The 20,506-nt window shown below is 51.8% G+C and overlaps 1 protein-coding gene across 3 annotated transcripts in view, besides 1 other annotated feature; it reads right to left on the minus strand.

Moving 5' to 3' along the window:
* The window catches only part of GRID2IP (Grid2 interacting protein), a 54,684-nt gene extending 39,508 nt beyond the window's left edge, over window positions 1–15,176 (minus strand). For 2 of the 3 annotated variants that reach the window (NM_001388403.1, XM_047420365.1), the window contains exon 1: window positions 546–598. In NM_001388403.1, the coding sequence (NP_001375332.1) occupies window positions 546–559 (14 nt within the window). In that variant the 5' untranslated portion in view covers window positions 560–598. Of the gene's footprint in view, window positions 1–545; window positions 599–3,432; window positions 3,588–14,722 lie in introns of those variants that run through there. The other variant, NM_001145118.2, reaches the window with a different exon arrangement.
* Window positions 445–1,424: an enhancer, noted in NCBI's record as "H3K27ac-H3K4me1 hESC enhancer chr7:6576361-6577340 (GRCh37/hg19 assembly coordinates)". NCBI's record gives its function as "activates a minimal SCP1, AML or CMV promoter by ChIP-STARR-seq in naive H9 embryonic stem cells {active_cell/tissue: H9 hESC(naive)}" and the evidence as "EXISTENCE:reporter gene assay evidence [ECO:0000049][PMID:30033119]".
* Window positions 15,177–20,506: the final 5,330 nt, after the last annotated feature.

Here is a 20,506-nt window from a genome sequence, read left to right on the forward strand (position 1 = left end):
TTCCTGGCGCACTTGACACGCGCTTACAGCAGAGGCTGCCGTTTCAAGCTGCGGGGACTGGGCATCCCCAGGTGTCCAGGGCTCCCGCTGCCCAGGCTCTAAATCGAGCGCGCCCAAGGGGGTTCCCCCTCCCGCGCCCTGCCCGACCCGCTGCCGCAGCTGCCGGCGGCTTGGGGACCAGCGGCGGCTGGGAAAGGCGGGCATGGGGCTGTCCCGGGGGGCAGGCGGGCTGGCCCGGGAGGGGGCAGGAACAGACACCGGCAGCGCTGTGGGAGAGGAGAACCGAGAGGGCCTCCAGCCGAGCCCGGCTGCCAGCAGCCGGGAGACGAGCGAGCCAACTTCCTGGGGGACAGCTGGGCCGCCTGCGCCCCGCTGGCCCATCCCTGGTGGGGAGGGGCGGGACGGGGGGCTGCCTGTCAATCAGCTCCCCAGGAAGCGCTCAGAGCCAGCGCATCATCTCCGCGGCAAATTCGGCTCTAGAAATAACTTTTTTCCTTTTTTCCCCTCTTCTGATTCTCCTAGCAAGGGGCTCACCCCTTACTCACCCCAGGCAGCTCATGGTGGCCTCTTTCGGTGGTGGTCGCCTATGCTCCGCTGCAGAGCCGAGAGCTGCGCCGGGGCTGGGGTGGGCGGGGGGGCGGCGGGGAGGGTGGCCAGCCCAGTCCCTGACATTGGCCAGGCCCAGAGGGAGGGGCAGGCTGCGGGGTGAATGGCAGCAAGGGGAGGGGGCGGGCTGAGTCCGGGAAGAGGGAGGGGAGGGATGGAGGAGCAGTCGCAGGCCCAGGAGGCTGGGTGAGGAGGGAAACCCGGCGGGATCCGGGGAGGGAGAACAGCAGTCCAGCCCAGAGGGGGTTTGGTCCAAGCTGGGCAGGCAGGGAGGGCCTCCAAGGATGGAAGTGGAGTCAGGAGACTCCTGGGTCCCTCCAGGTGAGGACCCACCAGTATTTTTTTTCTTCTGACAAATAAACTGAGAGCAGGCCGGGCACGGTGGCTCACGCCTGTAATCCCAGCATTTTGGGAGGCTGAGGCGGGCGGATCATTTTAGGTCAGGAGTTCGAGACCAGCCTGGCAAATATGGTGAGACCTTTTTTTTTTTTTTTTTTTTTTTTTGAGACAGAGTCTTGCTCTGTTGGCAGGGCTGGAGTGCAGTGTCGTGATCTCAGCTCACCGCAACCTCCCTCTCCTGGGTTCAAGTGATTCTCCTGCCTCAGCCTCCCCAGTAGCTAGGATTACAGGCGCCCGCCACCACAACCTGCTAATTTTTTGTATTTTTAGTAGAGATGGGGGTTTCACTATGTTGGCCAGGCTAGTCTCGAACTCCTGATCTCATGATCTGCCCGCCTCGGCCTCCCAAAGTGCTGGGATTACAGGTGTGAGCCACTGTGCCCGGCTGAGACCTCGTCTTTCCTAAAAATACAAAAATTAGCCAAGCGTGGCATCGTGGCACCCAGCTACTTGGGAGGCTGAGGCAGGAGAATCACTTGAACCCGGGAGGCAGATGTTGCAGTAAGCCAAGATCATGCCACTGCACTCCAGCCTGGATGACAGAGCGAGACTCCGATTCAAAAAAGCTTCGAGCAAAACAGAGCGGAAGAGCAGAAAGTGCACTGCTGACCCTGCTCGTGGTCCTGTGACTGCTACCAATTTGCTGTGTGGCTTCAGGCCAGCCTCTTAACCTCTCCGAGCCTCAGTCTGTCTCTGGGAAATGGGGTTAATAACAGCTCTTGGGTGATTCAGTGAAAGAGTGTTCCTCTAGTGTCTGCTGAGGTCCTTGGCACACATTCATCATCATCACCAAAGGGTCGGGCACCGTGGCTCATGCCTGTAACTCCAGCACTTTGGGAGGCCATGGTGGGCGATTGACTGAGCTCAGGAGTTTGAGGCCAGCCTGGACAACATGGCGAAACCTCATCTCTAAAAAAATACAAAAATTAGCTGGGCATGGTGGCACGCACCTGAAGTCCCAGCTACTCAGGAGGCTGTGGCAGGAGGATCACTTGAGCCCAGGAGTTGGAGGCTGCAGTGAGCCAAGATCATGGCACTACCCTCCTGCCTGGGTGACAGAGCGAGACCCTGTCTCAAAACAAAACAAAACAAAACAAAACAAAACAAAACAAAACAAGAAAAGTAATCAGGCCGGGTACAGTGGCTCACGCCTATAATCCACACACTTTGGGAAGCTGAGGTGGGTGAATCACTTGAGGTCAGGAGTTGGAGGCTGCAGTGAGCCAAGATCATGGCACTGCCCTCCTGCCTGGGCGACAGAGCGAGACCCTGTCTCAAAACAAAACAAAACAAGAAAAGTAATCAGGCCGGGTACAGTGGCTCACGTCTGTAATCCACACACTTTGGGAGGCCGAGGTGGGTGGATCACTTGAGGTCAGGAGTTGGAGACCAGCCTGGCCAACATGGTGACACCCCATCTTTACTAAAAATATGAAAATTAGCTGGGCGTAGTGGCACCTGTAGTCTCAACTACTCGGGAGGTTGAGGCAGGAGAATTGCTTGAACCGGGGAGGCAGAGGTTGCAGTGAGCCGAGATCACGCCACTGCACTCCAGCCTGGGCGATAGAGTGAGACTCTGTCTGAAAAGAAAGGAAGATGAAAGAAAGAGAGAAAGAGAGAGAGAGAGAAGAAAGGAAAGAAAGGAAATCAAAGGGCCAAGAGCACACATGGTTTGTAGGGTGGAGGTCGAGGGGGTACTGGAGCCCCACATGGCACAGTCCTGGGCTTCCCTGCCCTCACATTGTGCCATTATCCTGTCTCAATAAAGAATTGGAAGTGTCTGGTATCCTGTTGGAGATTTTTACAATCTAGGTTTTGGGGTGGAGCAGGGCAGACTGTGACCTTTTTTTTTTTTTGAGACAGTGTCTTGCTCTGTCATCCAGGCTGGAGTGCAGTGGCACAATCATAGCTCACTGCAGCCCCACCCTCCTGGGTTCAAGCAATCCTCCAGCCTCAGCCTCCCAAGTAGCTGGGACTACAAGCATGCACCACCACACCCAGTTAATTTTTATATTTTATAGACATGGGGTCTTTCTATGTTGCGTGGGCTGGTCTTCAACTCCTGGCCTCAAGCGGTTCTCCCACCTCAGCCTCCCAAAGCACGTGGATTACAGGCAGCAGCCACCATGCCTGGCCAAGGTGGTGACTTTGGATCAGAAGGTGGATCCTTTCTGAGGTCTGTCCTGGCCCTTCTCCCATCACTCAAGGTGGTACCCTGGCATCTGGCAGAGCCAACAGCTGCCTTCTCAGGGTCATTGGCCTACCCTTGTTTGGGGCTTGCAGTTATGTTGCGATGCTGTTCAAGAGCAGGCTACCATCTATTATCTCCCACCTGGGCTGGAAGGGGTGCCTGGGGTGGTTGTGAGGGAATGATGGCTCTAAGTGAGACCCACCCTGCCTGTCTATCCTGCCCCCTGCCCGCAGTACCTGAGGTTGTCCAGGAGTGGCCCGCAGGCCTCTCGGGGCAGCGCCAGGGTGAGAGTCCACACCAGATCATCCACCCGCTGCTCAGCTGCAAACTGCTTCAGTGCAGCGAACACCTGCTCCTTGGCAGTTGGCTGGTCCCCCAAGATTTCATCCACCTGCAAGGAGGAGTCCTGTGAATGACCAAAAGGGATCCAGAGTGGAACCCTGGAGAACTGCTCTCCTCCTTCCTTTCCTCCCTCAGTTTACCTACACGGGATGGCTGACGTGGGCGTACCACCTGAGTGCTATGCCCATATCATGCCCCTTCCTTCCTTCCTTTCTCTTTCTCTCTTCCTTCCTTTCTTCCTTCCTCCCTTCCTTCTTCCCTTCCCCTCCCCTCCCCTCCCCTCCCCTCCCTTCCCTTCCTTTCTTTTTGAGACGGAGTTTCAGTTTGTTACCAGGCTGCAGTGCAGTGGTGCAATCTTGGCACACTAGAACCTCCATCTCCCAGGTTCAAGCGATTCTCCTGCCTCAGCCTCCTGAGTAGCTGGGATTACAGGCATGCGCCACCACGCCCGGCTGATTTTGTATTTTTAGTACAGACAGGGTTTCTCCATGTTGGTCAGGCTAGTTTTGAACTCCCAACCTCAGGTGATCCGCCCGCCTCGGCCTCCCAAGGTGCTGGGATTACAAGCGTGAGCCACCGCGGCCGGCCATATCATGCCATTTCTAACCATGTATCTGCCCTGCGAAGAGGGCCTGGTCGCATGGTTAGTATCTTCATTTTATTTATTTATTTTAATTTAATTTTTAATTTATTGTTATTTATTTATTTATTTTTTGTGACAGAGTCTCACTCTGCCACCCAGGCTGGGGTGCGGTGGCTCAATCTTGATTCACTGCAACCTCCGCCTCCCAAGTTCAAGAGATTCTCCTGCCTCAGCCTCCCAAGTAGCTGGGATTACAGGCACCTGTGACCACACCTGGCTAATTTTTTTTTTTTTTTTTTTTTTTAGTAGAGATGGGGTTTTACCATGTTGGCCAGGCTGGTCTCAAACTCCTGGCCTCAGGTGACCCACCCACCTTGGGCTCCCAAAGTGCTGGGATTACAGGTGTCAACCACCGCACACAGCCAATTTATTTTAATTTAATTTTTGAGAGGTATCATCTCACTCTGTTGTCTAGGCTGGAGTGCAGTGGTGTGATTATAACTTACTGCAGCTTCCACCTCCTGGGCTCAAGTGATCCTCCCTCTTTAGCCTCCCGAGTAGCTGGGACCACAAGTATGTGCCTACATGCTTGGCTAATCTGTTTTTTTATAATCCCTCATCTACTTAAAGAGAACTGGCTAATTAAATTTTTTTTTTCTATAGAGATGGAGTCTTGCTATATTGCCCAGGCTGATCTCAAACTTTTGGGTTCAAGTGATCCTTCCACCACGGCCTCCCAAGGTGCTGGGATTACAGGTGTGAGCCACCTCTCTTGGCCAGCATCTTCATTTTCCATGTAAGGAAACTGAGGCTGGTAGAGGTGACGGCGTCACGGGGTGAAAGTGAAGGGTCAGGATTCAAACCCAAAGAGAGCTGTTCTAATAAATATCGTAAAGATCAAAGGAATTAATATAAAAGCTTAAAACCACACCACACATTCAGTAATTGCTAGTTACTATTATTATAATACTACACTCCCTTCCATACTGTGCGCTGAGAGATCCCACACAGAACATTCTGACTCCACAAAAAAAGTCCTGGCACGTCAGCTTGGCCCTGAATTTTGACTCCCTCAGTTCTCTCTCCAAACTTTTGTCTTTGTCCACAAACCAGCTGATACTAATCAAGGCACATCTGCACACAGGAGTGTGTGGCCATTGGAAATGAGCGTGCAAATGGACACGTTGGAAACGTGTGCAAATGATCACGTTGGAAAGGAGCATGCAAATAGACATGGTGGAAACGAGCGTGCAAATGCACACGTTGGAAACGAGTGTGCAAATGGGCACATTGGAAATGAGCATGCAAATGGTCATGTTGGAAATGAGCATGCAAATGGTCACGTTTCTGGAAGGCAGGTTGTTAAGTGTGTCCAAAGCCCATCCTTCTACCCAATGATCTCACATGTAGGAATTTATCTTACACACATCCTGACAAGACACATGCACGATGATGTATGAGTGAGGTGGTTCACCTGTGTATTATTTCTAACACTAAGACGTTGGCAGCAATATAAATATCTGACAGTGGGGGCTAAATAATTGCAGTACATCCATGTGGGAGATATTTGTAGTTTCTTGGCTATCTAGGCCAAAAACAAAGAGGAAAATCTCAGCCAGGCGCGGTGGCTCACACCTGTAATCCCAGCACTTTGGGAGGCCAAGGGGGGCGGATCATCTGAGGTCAGGTGTTTGAGACCAGCCTGGCCAACATGGTGAAACCCCGTCTCTACTAAAAATACAAAAATTAGCCAGACGTGGTGGTGGGTGCCTTTATTCATCCCAGCTACTCGGGAGGCTGAGGCAGGAGAATCGCTTGAACCCAGGAGTCGGAGGTTGCAGTGAGTCGAGATCTTGCCATTGTACTCCAGCCTAGGCAACAAGAGCAAAAACTCCATCTCAAAAAAAAAAAAAAAAAAAAGAAAAAAGAAAATCCCAAAGTAGGTGGGAGGCAAGATCCTGGCAGGGCTGGGGGCAATGGTTCACACCTGTAATCCCAGTGCTTAGGGAGATCGAGGCAGGAGGATTGTTTGAGACCAGGAATTCAAGACCATCCTGGGCAACATAGCATGACCCCATTTCTACAAACAAATTTTTTTTAAATTAGCCAGATGTGGTGGTGCATGCCTGTAGTCTCAGCTACTTGTGAGGCTGAAGTGAGAGGATCACTTGAGCTCAGGAAGTTGAGGCTGCAGTGAGCCAAGATTGTGCCACTGCACTATACAGTCTGGGCAACAGATCAAGACCCCATTTCAATAAATAAATAAGAAAATAAAACCATGAAATAGGGAGTGATGGCTAAGGAGTGCAGAATTTCTTGTTAGAGTGATGAAATTGTTTGAAAATGGATGGTAGTGATGGGTGTTACAATCCTGTGAATATATTAAAAACCATCGAATTGCCCACATGTCATACAGTTTAGCCACTGAAAGCACATACTCCATGAGACCCTTCCCTTGTTGGCTGAGGGTCTGGTTGTCTCTGGGCACTGACAGCTGGAGCTGACCCTGAAGCAAGGCTGGGCGGCTGAGTGAGTCCATGAGTCGTTCACGTCTCCCTCTCTCGAGGACTTGTGGGTGCAACTTCAGCCTGAACTGGGGCTGTCAGGCCCCGCCTCTCTCACCCTCATCCACCTCCAAACTTCTCAACAGACTCCGCATCCTTCCCTTCCATCCTCTGCTCTCAGAGGTTGAAGAGGCCCACTTCCGGCCGGGTGCGGTGGCTCACGGCTGTCATCCCAGCACTTTGGGAGGCGAAGGTGGGTGGATCATCTGAAGTTAGGAGTTCGAGACCAGCCTGGCCAACATGGTGAAACCCCATCTCTACTACAAATACAAAAATTAGCTGAGCATCTGATGGCAAACGCCTGTAATCCCAGTTACTCGGGAGGCTGAGGCAGGAGAATTGCTTGAGCCTGGGAGGCGGAGGTTGCAGTGAGCCAAGATCGTGCCACTGCACTCCAGCCTGGTGACAGAGCGAGGCTCTGTCTCAAAAAAAAAAAAAGCCCCCTTTGTAGTCAAGGCCAAATCACCAGGCCACAGACACCTCACCATTCCCAGTCTCCACCCCTTTCTTCCTGCCACCTACTTGTCATTCAGCTTTCAGCTCAAAGATCATCTCATCAGGCAGCCTTTCCTGGCCACCCTGTCAAAGTGGGTTGCGTCACTCTCACCTCACCCTATTTATGCCTCCACTTTATTCATCATCATCTTTTTTTTTCTGGAGTCAGGGTCTTGCTCTGTTGCCCAGGCTGGAGTGCAGTGGTGCAATCATAGCTCCCTGTGGCCTTGAACTCCTGTGTTCAAGCGATCCTCCCACCTCTGCCTTCCGAGTAGCCAGGATCACAGGTGCACGCCACTGTGCTTGGCTAATTTAATTTAATTTTATTATTATTATTATTATTTGAGAGAAAGTCTCACTCTGTCGCTCACTCTGTCGCTCTGTGCAGTGGTGGGATCTTGGCTCACTGCAACCTCCACCTCCTGAGTTCAAGCAGTTCTCCTGACTCAGCCTCCCAAGTAGCTGGGATTATAGGCAAATGCCACCACGCCCGGCTCATTTTGGTAATTTTTGTAGAGATGGGGTTTCACCATGTTGGCCAGGCTGGTCTCAAACTCCTGACCTCAGGTGATCCTCCCACCTCGGCCTCCCAAAGTGTTGGAATTACACGTCTGAGCCATCGTGCCTGGCCTGTCATGATCTTTAATAGCTTGTGTATTGATTAATCCACTTGCTTACTGTCTCTTTCCCTGCAGTAATGTTAGGTGTGTGAAGTCAGGCTCCTTGCCTGTGTTGTTCATGGCTGTTTCCCCTGTCCTGCACATCATAGGCCCATGATCAATGACTGGTAAATGCATGGTTTTCTTTTTCTTTTTTCTTTCTGTTTTTTTTGAGATGGAGTGTCACTCTTATTGCCCAGGCTGGAGTGCAATGGCATGATCTCGGCTCATTGCAACCTCTGCCTCCCGGGTTCAAGCGACGCTCCTGCCTCACCCTCCTGAGTAGCTGGGATTACAGGCACCCGCCACCACAACCAGCTAATGTTTTGTGTTTTTAGTAGAGACAGGGTTTCTCCATGTTGGCCAGGCAGTCTCGAGCTCCTGACCTCAGGTGATCCACCCGCCTCAGCCTCCCAATGTGCTGGGTTTACAGGTGTGAGCCACTGTGCCCGGCCTGCATGGTTTTCAGTATATCTACTTCTCCATTCCCTGCAGCTTATATAAATGTTCAAGTCTCTCTCAGGCTATAAATAAATAAATAACAAGCTGGGCACAGCAGCTCATGCCTATAATCCCAGAGCTTTGGGAGGACAAGGCGGGAGGATCACTTGAGGCCAGGAGTTGGAGACCAGCCTGGGCAACATAACCAGACCCTGTCTCTAAAAAATGAAAGACAGCCGGGCGCGGTGGCTCATGCCTGTAATCCCAGCACTTTGGGAGGCCGAGGCAGGCGGATCACAAGGTCAGGAGATCGAGACCATCCCAACTGACACGGTGAAACCCCGTCTCTACTAAAAATAGAAAAAAAATTAGCCAGGTGGGCGTGATGGCGGGCGCCTGTAGTCCCAGCTACTCGGGAGGCTGAGGCAGGAGAATGGTGTGAACCCGGGAGGCGGAGCTTGCAGTAAGCCGAGATCGCGCCACTGCACTCCAGCCTGGGTGACAGAGACAGACTCCATCTCAAAAGAAAAAAAAGAAAGAAAAGAAAAAGTAAAAAGTTAGCCAGATATGGTGGTGCACGCTTGTATTCCCAGCTACCAGATACTTGGGAGGCCGAGGTAGGAGGATCTCTTGTGCCCGGGAAATCAAGGCTGCAGTAAGCCATGATCACACCACTGAGCTCCAGCCTGGGTGACAGATCAAGACCCTGTCTCCATAAATAAATAAATAAAAGACAATCCTCCTTTGATCCTGAAAGCTGCTCATTCTCCTCCCTTCTGTAGTCTGGAGCCGTCTACACGTGCTGTTTCTGTACCACTGCCCTTTGCCACTGCAGTTCACTATTGCACTTGAGGCTCTCCACGACCCAGCTCTGGCGAAGAACCCCAGACAGTGACTCTCAGACCTCGATCTTCAGCCGAGAGCTCGCTCTTGAACTCTGGAACTGTATATCCACCCGCTTTCTAGATGATTCCAAAAGGGGAGGAGAAGTAGCGGGAAGCTTCGAGGGTTTCCAGTCAGAGGCCACGTTCTGTACACGTCTGAATCCTAGCACAGATGCACCATGAGTCTGTGTAACCGTCTGTCTCCCCCACCCAGGTGTGATGATCCGGGGTCTCATGCTTGTCCAGCCCCAAGCACAGCGCCTGGCACATATTAGGCACTCAGAGAATGTGGATGGGACTGAATCAAAAAGCAGCCTTGCATTGCACTTCCTGCAGGCCCCAGCTCACCACTGTTTCCCTCCCTGTGAGTGGGCCAGGCTGGCAGCACCAGCCGCCCCCTCCCCACGCACGCGCCGTGCTGGGGAAGGTTGCCAGTTTGGAAATCAAAGTCAGCAGCAACCTCAATTCAAAGGAGAACATGGCTGGCTGCAGAGATGTTTTATGTAAGAAAGAGGAAAAAATAGTTCCTCCCTCCTGGGGCCCGTGCTACAGTGCGGTTTCGGTGTCAGTTATTACCCAGATGTTCTCAGCCTACATCTAAGCATGAGGTATCATCACGGGACACTAATGGATTTTCTATTAAATATCAGCCACTTCAAGGAGGAAAAACTGGGGCAGGCAGAAAGCGCAGGCGAGAACTGGAGGGCTGGTGATTGAAAACCAACCAGTCTGGCGCAGTGGCTCATGCCTGTAATCCCAGCACTTTGGAAGGCAGAGGCAGGTGGATCACCTGAGGTCAGGAGTTTGCGACTAGCTTGACCAACATGGTGAAACCCCATCTCTACTTGAACTCCTGACCTCAGGTGACCTGCCTGCCTCGGCCTCCCAAAGTGCTGGGATTACAGGTGTGAGCCACCGTGCCCAGCCAAGCCACCAAGCCTGGCCTGTCTCTACTAAAAAAAATACAAAATTAGCCGGGCGTGGTGGTACATGCCTGTAATCCCAGCTTCTTGGGAGGCTGAGGCAGGAGAATTGCTTGAACCCAGGAGGCGGAGGTTGCAGTGAGCCAAGATCACGCCATTGCACTCCAGCCTGGGCAACAAGAGCGAAACTCTGTCTCAAAAAAAAAAAAAAAAAGATAGAAAACCAACTGGGCTCCACGGAGGCCCTTCATCTTCCAGAGGAAGTCATTTTTGGAGATTCACTCTCAGCTTTTGTGGGTGCCCAGCGAGCCCTAACCAAAATCCTCCACTTCCCCGTTCCTCCTTGCCAGAAAACACACTGCAGCTGGCCTGGGCAGCCTGTCGGATTCTACCCTCAGCGGGTTGCTGCCCAGCCCTGCTCCTGGGCAGGTCTTCTCTTGCATCCTGCCCTGTTTGGAGCTCTGAACGTGCCCCCTTCCAACTCTGCAGGGATTAGATGGAGTCTGGGATAGACCTTTGGCTCCATGGCAGGTGATCTGGGATTGTAGCAGGCATTACTCGCACTCACCAATATTTCTAGGTCTTCCCTCTTTCCTGGACACACATTAGACTACATTTCCCAGCATCCTTAGGGAGGAGCAGTGTACCTAGTTCTGCCCAATGAGCATTGAGGACAGGTGCTGTTCTAAGAGGAGATGCACAATTTTCCAAGCTCTCTTCCTCTTCCATAGGGAACCCTGAAGCTTCACATAGAGATGGAGGAGTCTGAAATGCTGAGACCTCGTATGGACATCAAGCCACCCTAGAAAGTCTACTGACCCCCTAGAGGACTCTGTGGGTGAAAAGTAAACTTCTGTAGTGCAAACGCACTAAGTTGTTGATTTTGGGTCAGGCACAGTGGCTCACACCTATAATCCCAGCACTTTGGGAGGCTGAGGCAGGAGAATTGCTTGAGGCCAGGAGTTTGAGACTAGCCTGGGCAACATAGCAAGACCTCATCTCCCCAGTCTTTTTTTTTTTTCTTAATCAGCCAGGTGTGGTGGTGCACACCTGTGGTCCCAGCTACTAGAGAGGCTGAGGCAGGAGGATCACTTGAGCCCAGGAGTTGGAGGCTGTAGTGAGCTATGATTGTACCACTGCACTCCAATCTGGGCAACAGAGCTAGACCCTGTCTCAAAAACAACAACAATAAAAAATGTTGGGTTTGTTTGTTATAGCAGCAGAGCCTGTTGTGGGTACAGGAAGAAAGTCACAGCTTTGGAAGATCTGGACTTTGGTGATGTAGGGAAGCTGGAGTTGAGTCCTGTGTGTATGCGAGTGTGTGTATCTGGCCACAGAGGCTGGTCTACTCAGGGTCAGAAAAGCCCATTCAGGGGATCAGGCTAGGGTACATGATGGAGGAGACACTCCTGAGGGGGTTAATTTGGAAGGGGTTAGGACTGGACCAAGCTTGGGCACTGAAGGAGGCCAGAGTGGGTGGGGACCTGATGCCTGGGCAGTGGGCTGGGAGGCATTTCTGCAATAGTCAAACTCCGACAAAGTTTCCAGGCTCCCTGACCTCCCAAACCCCATGGCCAAGTGCTGCTGGGGCAGAACTGAGCAGATTCCCTTCCACGGAGGAAAAGTCTGTGAGCTTGATAACACAACAGGGTGACTATAGCCAATAATAACTTAATTGTCCATTTTAAAATAACTTAGGCCAGGTGCAGTAGCTCACACCTGTAATTCCAGCACTTTTGGAAGGCCGAGGTAGGCAGATCTCCTGAGGTCAGGAGTTCAAGACCAGCCTGGACAACATAGTGAAACCGTGTCTCTACTATAAATACAAAAATTAGCCAGGCATGGTGGTGGGGGCCTGTAATCCCAGCTCCTTGGGAGGCTGAGCCAGGAGAATTGCTTAAACCCGGGAGGCGGAGGTTGCAGTGAGCCGAGATCGTACCACTGTATTCCCTGGGCAACAGAGCGAGACTCTGGCTCCAAAAAAAATAAATACAAACTTAAACGGTGTAGATGGATTGTTTATAACTCAAAAGATAAATGCTTGAGGGGATGGGTACCCCATTCTCCATGACATGCTTATTTCACATTGCATGCCTGTATTAGAGTATCTCAGATACCCCATAAATATATACACGTATTAGGTACCCACAAAAATTAAAAATCAAAATAATGTAAAAAAAGTTGGCCAGATGCGGTGGCTCACGCCTGTAATCCCAGCACTCTGGGAGGCCGCAGCAGATGGATCACGAGGTCAGGAGTTCAAGACCAGCCTGACCAATATGGTGAAACCCCATCTCTACTAAGAATACAGAAAAAAAAAATAGCTGGCCATGGTGGGGTACGCCTGTAATCCCAGCTACGCGGGAGGCTGAGGCAGGAGAATCACTTGAACCCAGGAGGTGGAGGTTGCAGTGAGCCGAGATCACACCACTGCACTCCAGCCTGGGTGACAGAGCGAGACTCTGCCTCAAAAAAAAAAAAAAAAAAGTCTATGAGCTTAAGTGTCCCAGCCGCCAAGCAAATACTGAGTTTCCAGGCTTCATGTCCACAGGGGTCCGATAGCCAGGCAGGGGTAGGGACTGAGTGTCTTGGCTCCGGACTATTTCCTAGTCGCACACAGGATCACTTTTTGTTCCATTCAAGTATTAGTGAAATAAAGGCCTTAGGACCCCATCTGAAAGCCCTGGAGGACAGGAGTGAAGGTGAATGGCATGGGAGGTTGCTGTACTGGGACCTAGTCAGTGGCCTGGGGTAGCTGTAACCATACTAGGCAGCTTCTTCTTTTATAACCATGTCACGTCCCAGGTTTCTTGGAATTGCCTGGATCTGTCCAGTAAATGGCAGGTTCCTGCAAATCAGGGGTTGCTTGGGATTCAGGCCTGAGACCGACTCTATCCTCCCTCTTTCCATCCCAGCCCTGGGTCTCTAAATGGTGCCTCCATCTTGGCTTGTGGCCACACCCTACTTCCTGCAGGTGACTCAGGCCTTGGGTTCTTCTTGTGGCTAGAGGTCTGATCCATTCCAGGCTCCTCATTCTTAATCTTCAGGACCACGCTAATATTCCACCTGCAGTCTATCACAGCCTGGTTTGTGCCAAAGTCAAGAGGAAATGCCTTTGGCAGATTGGTGAAGCCAAACTAGGGCCTCCTGCAGCCAACAAGCCAGCCAGGCCGCTGTGCAAGGGCAGGTCTAATCCTGGTTTTGTGGGGGCTTAGAACAGGCGGAATTCTTTTACATTTTTTTGGAGGTGGGGAATGGCGGGGAGGGGAATGGAGTCTCACTCTGTCACTCAGGCTGCAGTGCAGTAGCATGATCTCAGCTCACTGCAACCTCCGTCTCCCAAGCTCAAGTAATCCTCCCACCTCAACACCCTTGAGTATCTGGCACCACAGGCGCGCGCCACCACACCTGGCTGGTTTTTTTTTTTTTTATATTTTTGATAGTGATGGGATTTCACCACATTGCCCAGGCTGGTCTCAAACTCCTGAGTTCAAGTCATCAGCCCTCCTCAGCCTCCCAAAGTGCTGGGATTACAGGCGTGAGCCACCTCACCCCACTGGCTCTTTTACACTTGATCTTAGATGAAGGGCCAAGAAGCGATATCTGTGGCTCTTTTTATTTTATCTTTTTATTTTAGAGATGCGGTCTCACTCCGTTACCCAGGCTGGAATGCAGTGGTGCAGTCATGGCTCACTGCAGCCTCAAACTCCCAGGCTGAAGCGATCTTCCTGCCTCAGTCTCCTGAGTATCTGGGACTATAAGGCATGCACCACCATGCCAAGCTAGTTTTTGATTTTTTTTGTAGAGATGGTGTCTCATTACGTTGCCCAGGCTGGCCTTGAACTCAGGGTCTCAAGTGATCCTCCCACCTTGGTCTCCTAAAATGCTAGGATTACATCTAGCACCTGGCCTGCAGTTAAGTTCTAATGGGGAGGATAGACAGAGAAAGGGGCACGTGGGAACATTCTGGTGTCAATTATTCTATAGTCTACATTATATTTTTATCTATATCCTATTATTTTATATATTGATCAAGAGGGTGGTTATTCAAGGGTGCATGTATATGGAAAATTTATTGAGCTGCACACTTAATGCACTTTACACCTATAGTACCTTAATAAAAAAGAAACACAAGTGAATAAAAATTGCAAAATTAGGCCGGGCGCAGTGGCTCATGCCTGTAATCCCAGCACTTTGGGAGGCAGAGGTGGGCAGATCACTTGAGGTCAGGAGTTTGAGACCAGACTGACCAACATGGTGAAACCCCGTCTCTACTAAAAATACCAAAAAAAAAAAAAAAAAAAAAATTAGCTGGGTGTGGTGGCAAACGCCTGTAATCTCAATTACTGGAAGACTGAGGCAGGAGAATCACTTGAACTTGGGAGGCAGAGGTTGTACTGAGCCAAGACCTGGCCACTGCACTCCAGCTTGGGTGACAGAGCGAGACTCTGTCTCAAAAAAAAAAAATGCAAAATTGTTTGCAAGGTTTTGAAGTTGAGCATTCCCATATTTCTGTTAAATCTGACCCCAGAAGTTTCCTTACCTCTGGCCCTGGGAGAGCGGCGCCCGGCCCACTCCCTGCCCACATTATGAGCCCCCTCCTTCCCGCCCCCACCTCCCACCCCCGCGCCTTACCTTGCGGCTGAACTCTTGGGCCTTGCGCCTGCGCTCTCGGTGCACCGCGTCCGGGCGCTTGCGGCCGGCCAGGCGAAGCAGCTCACGGCCCAGAGCTAGGCCGCGGCCGCACCGCGGGGCCCGCAAGACTGTGGTCGGGGCCGCGGGGCCGGATCCTGGGCCGGGGCCACCGTCGGGAGCCGGGAGCACGCCCAGACTGGGCGGCACACGTGGGCAGCGCCGTGCCAGGCGCACGAGGCGCTCGCGGCTCAGACCGCCCACCGCCAGCCCCTCCACCTCCAGGATCTGGTCTCCTGGCCGCAGTCCTCCGGCATGCGCGCTGCTCCCCTTGGCCACCTCCAGGACGAAGCAGGGGCCAGAGCCACCTAGCCGGAAGCCAAAGTCCTCTGGCCAGCCCTGGTTCGTGGCCGGCGTGGCAGTGGTGGCCATGCACCTAGAACTGGAGACAGAACAGGGATTTCCTTGCTGCTCTGTCCATGGCTCCAAAGCCACTCAAAGGCCCAGGGCCACTGAAGGCCTCTACTTATCTCTGCCTCCTCCCTCTGACTCCGTCTTTGTCTCAATTCCCTTCCATCTATGTTTTTTTGTTTTGTTTTGTTTTTGTTTTTTTAAGACAGAGTTTCGCTCTTGTTGCCCAGGCTGGAGTGCAATGGCGTGATCTCAGCTCACCGCAACCTCCGCTTACTGGGTTCAAATGATTCTCCTGCCTCAGCCTCCTGAGAAGCTGGGATTACAGGCATGTGCCACCAAGCCTGGCTAATTTTGTATTTTTAGTAGAGACGGGGTTTCTCCATGTTGGTCAGGCTGGTCTCGAACTCCTGACCTTAGGTGATCTGCCTGCCTTGGCCTCCCAAAATGCTGGGATTACAGGCGTGAGCCACCGTGCCTGGCTTGCCTAATTGTTGTATTTTTAGTAGAGACAGGGTTTCACTATGTTACCCAGGCTGGTCTTGAACTCCTGGCCTCAGGTGATCTGCCTGCTTGGCCTCTCAAAGTGCTAGGATTACAGGCATGAACCATCATGCCTGGCTTGTTTTTTTGTTTTTTGTTTGTTTGTTTGTTTGTTTTTACTAAAAACAAAATTGGGGAGGGGGTGTAAAAGAAAAATGGCCCTTCCTTAAAGTCTTCTTTTGAGTGCCTTGGATTTTTAACCAATGCGGCCACATCCTTTTCCATGGGCCCCTCCTGCTTCCACAGGTCTGTTTTACTGTCTTACATGTACACTTGGCTTCCATGGGCCCTCCTCACTCCCTACACTTTAATCCCTCTTCTTACCCCTCTCCATCTACCAAAATTCCCTTTCGGGATCTGGCATGAATCACAAACTTACGGAAGTCCAGAATGTTGGAGCAGAATGGTCCCTCAGAGACCATTCATATCTTTGGGCATTTATTTTATTTTATTTTATTTTTGAGACAGAGTCTTGTTCTGTCACCCAGGCTGGAGTGCAGTGGTGTGATCTCGGCTCACTGCAACCTCTGACTCCTGGGTTCAAGCGATTCTCCTGCCTCAGCCTCCCGAATAGCTGGGATTACAGGTGTCCACCACCATGCGCGGCTACTTTTTGTATTTTTAGTAGAGACAGGGTTTCACCATATTGGCCAGGCTGGTCTCCAACTCCTGACCTCAGGTGATCCACCTGCCTTGGCCTCCCAAAGTGCTGTGATTACAGGCGTGAGCCACCGTGCCCAGCCTCTTGGGCTTTATTTTTTAGAGGCAAAGTCTCACTCTGTCACCCAGTCTGGAATGCAGGAACACCATCATATCTCACTGCAGCCTTGACCTTCCAAGCTGAAGTCATCCTCCTGCCTCAGCCTCCTGAGTAGCTGGGATCACAGGCGCATACTACCATGCCCAGCTAATTAAAAAAAAATTTTTATAGAAATGGGGTCTCACTATGTTGCCCAGACAGGTCTCAAACTTCTGGGCTCAAGCGATCCTCCTTCTTCAGCCTCCCAAAGTGCTGGGATTACACATGTGAGCCACTGCACCCAGCCTGGGGGAGACTTTAGAAACCTCCTCAGAGGCCGGGTGCGGTGGCTCACGCCTGTAATCCCAGCACTTTGCGAGGCAGAGGCGGGCGGCTCACGAGGTCAGGAGATCGAGACCATTCTGGTTAACATGGTGAAACCCCGTCTCTACTAAAACTACAAAAAAAATTAGCCAGGATGGTGGCGGGTGCTTGTAGTCCCAGCTACTCGGGAGGCTGAGGCAGGAGAATGGCATGAACCCGGGAGGCGGAGCTTACAGTGAGCCGAGATTGCACTACTGCACTCCACTCCATCCAGCCTGGGCGACAGAGCGAGACTCCATCTCAAAAAAAAAAAAAAGAAAGAAAGAAACCTCCTCAGACCCAGCATGTGGCGTGTCTGCACTTTGAGACAGGAGAGGGCCCTAACCCAAGGTCACCCAGCTGGGGAATGGCAGTGCCAGGTCACCCTCAGGCCCCATCCAAGGCTGTCTCCACAGAGCCTCCACACACACCTCAGGCAAAGCCTCAAACCTCTGTCCAGACGTCTCCTGCCTGGCTTGAGGATGCCCTCACTGGCTTCCCCTCACTCGTGTTGTAGGAGGTGGAGTGGGTTGATGTCCTCTTTCCTATGCCCTAGGATTTGGGGAACAAACATTTATGTACTGGCCCTGGTGGCCAGGGTGAGCATTGACCAGGCTGGCCAATCACTGTATCTCAGCCTTTGTGTCCTACAGAGGGCTTTTTGGAGCCCCTGCAGAGTTGATACTTTGGTCCTGAGAGAGAACGGTCTTTCTGTGGGTCCGTTGGCTGTATGGACGTCAAAGGTTTGGGGCTGCTGGCAGCCATGTTGCCACCCTGTGGAGGATCAGTTCTTATGACATCATCCGAACTCCTGGATCCAGCTGTGCCTGAAATGCACCCAACTTACATTTGACAGAAGGACTTCTCAGTAACACAGGCTCATAAATTCCTCTTTTTGGTTGTTGTTTTTTAAAGCCTGTTTGGCTGGATGAGGTGGCTCACGCCTGTAATCTCAGTGCTTTGGAAGACTGAGACAGGAGGATCACTTGAGCCCAGGAGTTCAAGACAGCCTGGACAACAGAACAAGACCCTGCCTTTTTTTTTTTTTTTTTTTGAGACGGAGTTTCGCTCTGTCACCCACACTGGAGTGCAGTGGCTCGATCTTAGCTCACTGCAACCTCCACCTCCCAGGTTTAAGCAATTCTCCTGCCTCAGCCTCCCGAGTAGCTAGAATTGCAAGTGTACACCACCATGCATGGCTAATTTTTGTATTTTTTTTGTAGAGACAGGGTTTTGCCATGTTGGCCAGGCTGGTCTCAAACTCCTGGCCTCAGGTGATTCACCCGCCTCAGCCTCCGACAGTGCTGGGATTGCAGGCATAAGCCAGACCCTGTCTTAAAAAAAAAAATTAGCTGAGCATGATGGTACACACCTGTAGTCCTAGCGACTCAGGAGGCTGAGGTGGGAGGATTGCCTGAACCCAGGAGTCTGAGGCTGCAGTGAGCCATGATGGTGCCACCACACTCCAGCCTGGGAAGTAGAGTGAGACCCTGTCTCAAAAATAGACAAACAAATGAATAAGTAAATAAATAAATACATTTAAAAAAATTTAAGGCTGTTTAGAGTTCAGATGCAATCACTTGCAACTAGTGGGACACTCAGTGCTAGAAACCTCTAAGTAAAGAGGAAACAGGAAGAGCTCTCATATGAAAGTTGCATCTCGGCCGGGCACGGTGGCTCACGCCTGTAATCCCAGCACTTTGGGAGGCCGAGGCGGGCGGATCACAAGCTCACGAGGTCAGGAGATCGAGACCATCCTGGCTAACATGGTGAAACCGCGTCTCTACTAAGAATACAAAAAATAAAAAAATTAGCTGGGCGTGCTGGCATGCTCCTGTAGTTCCAGCTACTCGGAAGGCTGAGGCAGGAGAATCACTTGAACCTGGGAGGCAGAGGTTGCAGTGAGCCAAGATCAATTGCACCACTGCACTCCAGTCTGGGTGACAGAGCGAGACGCCGTCTCAAAAAAAAAAAAAAAGAAAGTTTCATCTCATTTCCTGTTGATGTTTGGTGAGAGGGGATTTGCCCTTTGAGCAAATCTTTGAGGAGGTAAGACTCTCCTTCTTGGCCTCCTCGGGGAAGGATGGTATGGCTGATTTCAGGTCTCTGGGCTCCTAGCTCTTGCATGGGCTCAGGGAGGAAGTGGCTCTGTCCTCCAAAAGAGGCCAATTGGGCTGGCGAGGGACTGGAGATCCGTCTCCAGTGGAAAGGTGAAGATGGACTATGCTGGATGGAACAATCTCTGTGTGTCTTTTTTTTTAATCTGTTTTATTTTTAAAAACTTTTTTTTAAGGACGGTAGTGGTGGCTCGGGCCTGTAATCCCAGCACTTTGGGAGGCCAAGGTGGGTGGATCACCTGAGGTCAGGAGCTCGAGACAAGCCTGGCCAACATGGTGAAACCCTGTCTCTACTACAAATACAAAAATTAGCTGGACATGGTAGCGGGCGCCTGTAATCCCAGCTACTTGGTAGGCTGGGGCAGGAGAATCTCTTGAAGCTGTGAGGTGGAGGTTGCAGTGAGCCAAGATCGTACCACTGCACTCCAGCCTGGGCAACAGAGTGAGACTCTGTCTCAAAAAAACAAAAAACAAAAATAAAAATTTTTTTCTTTTTTTTTTTTTTTGAGACGGTCTCACTCTGTCACCCAGACTGGCTCACCGCAACCTCTGCCTCCCAGACTCAAGTGATTCTCCTGCCTCAGCCTCCCGAGTGGCTGGGATTACAGGTGTGTGCCACTACTGCCCAGCTAATTTTTGTATTTGTAGTAGAGATGGGGTTTCACCATGTTGGTCAGGCTGGTCTTGAACTCCTGACCTCAAATGATCCACCTGCCTCGGCCTCCCAAAGTGCTGCGATTACAGGCGTGAGCCACTGCACCCGGCCCATTTTTTAAAATAGAGACCGGGTCTCGCTATGTTTCCCAGACTGTTCTTGAACTCCTGGCCTCAAGTGATCCTCCTGCCTCAGCCTGGTGTGTGTTTCTCTTTATAGCAGGGATTTCTTATGGGAGCCCATGGCGGCCTCTGAAACCGTAGGCAGTATGTGGTGTGGTCAGTGTCGTTCTGGTCAGTGTGTGAAGGCTTCCTGAGCTGGCTTGGAAGAACCTCTGAGGGCTGGTTTTGCAAGGCCCTGGGCTTGGGTACCGCTCAGCCCCCTGCAGCTGTGTGGAGATCTGCCTATGGCCGTCTTCTTTGCAGAACCAGCCTCTCCCAGGAGGCCTGGGGAATACTTCCAGGAAGCTGCAGAGTTGGGGACTGGGGACGAGGAAGAGACCTATCTATGATGGACTAGAAGGAACTTTCCTTGAGTGACACCCAATGAGAACTGGTGTCACCTGGCCACCAGAGGGCCCAGTGAGAGAACTCCTTGCACTAGGTGGGAAAGAGGTTGTCACACCCTGAGGCTGGCGGGATCAGATCCAAACACATCCCGGGAGTCCTCATCCCCAGCTGCCAGGCTGTGGTGCTGGCCCCTAGGCATGGAGCCTCAGGGACACTTCCTCTGTCACTTGGTGGCAAAGCATTGGGCTCCCGTGGTCCCCTGTGCCTAGGTGGGGTTTGGGCATCATGCCGTCCTGGAGGGGCCTCAAGTCAACCATGAGAGGAGACTCCGCTCCCCATTATCAAGGAAGGGCTGGCCGGGAATGGTGGCTCATGCCTATAATCCCAGCACTTTCAGAGGCCAAGGCGGGCAGATCGCTTCGGAGGTCAAGCGTTCGAGACCACCCTAGC

The sequence above is a fragment of the Homo sapiens genome, chromosome 7, assembly GCF_000001405.40.
Source record: "Homo sapiens chromosome 7, GRCh38.p14 Primary Assembly".
NCBI lineage: Eukaryota > Metazoa > Chordata > Mammalia > Primates > Hominidae > Homo > Homo sapiens.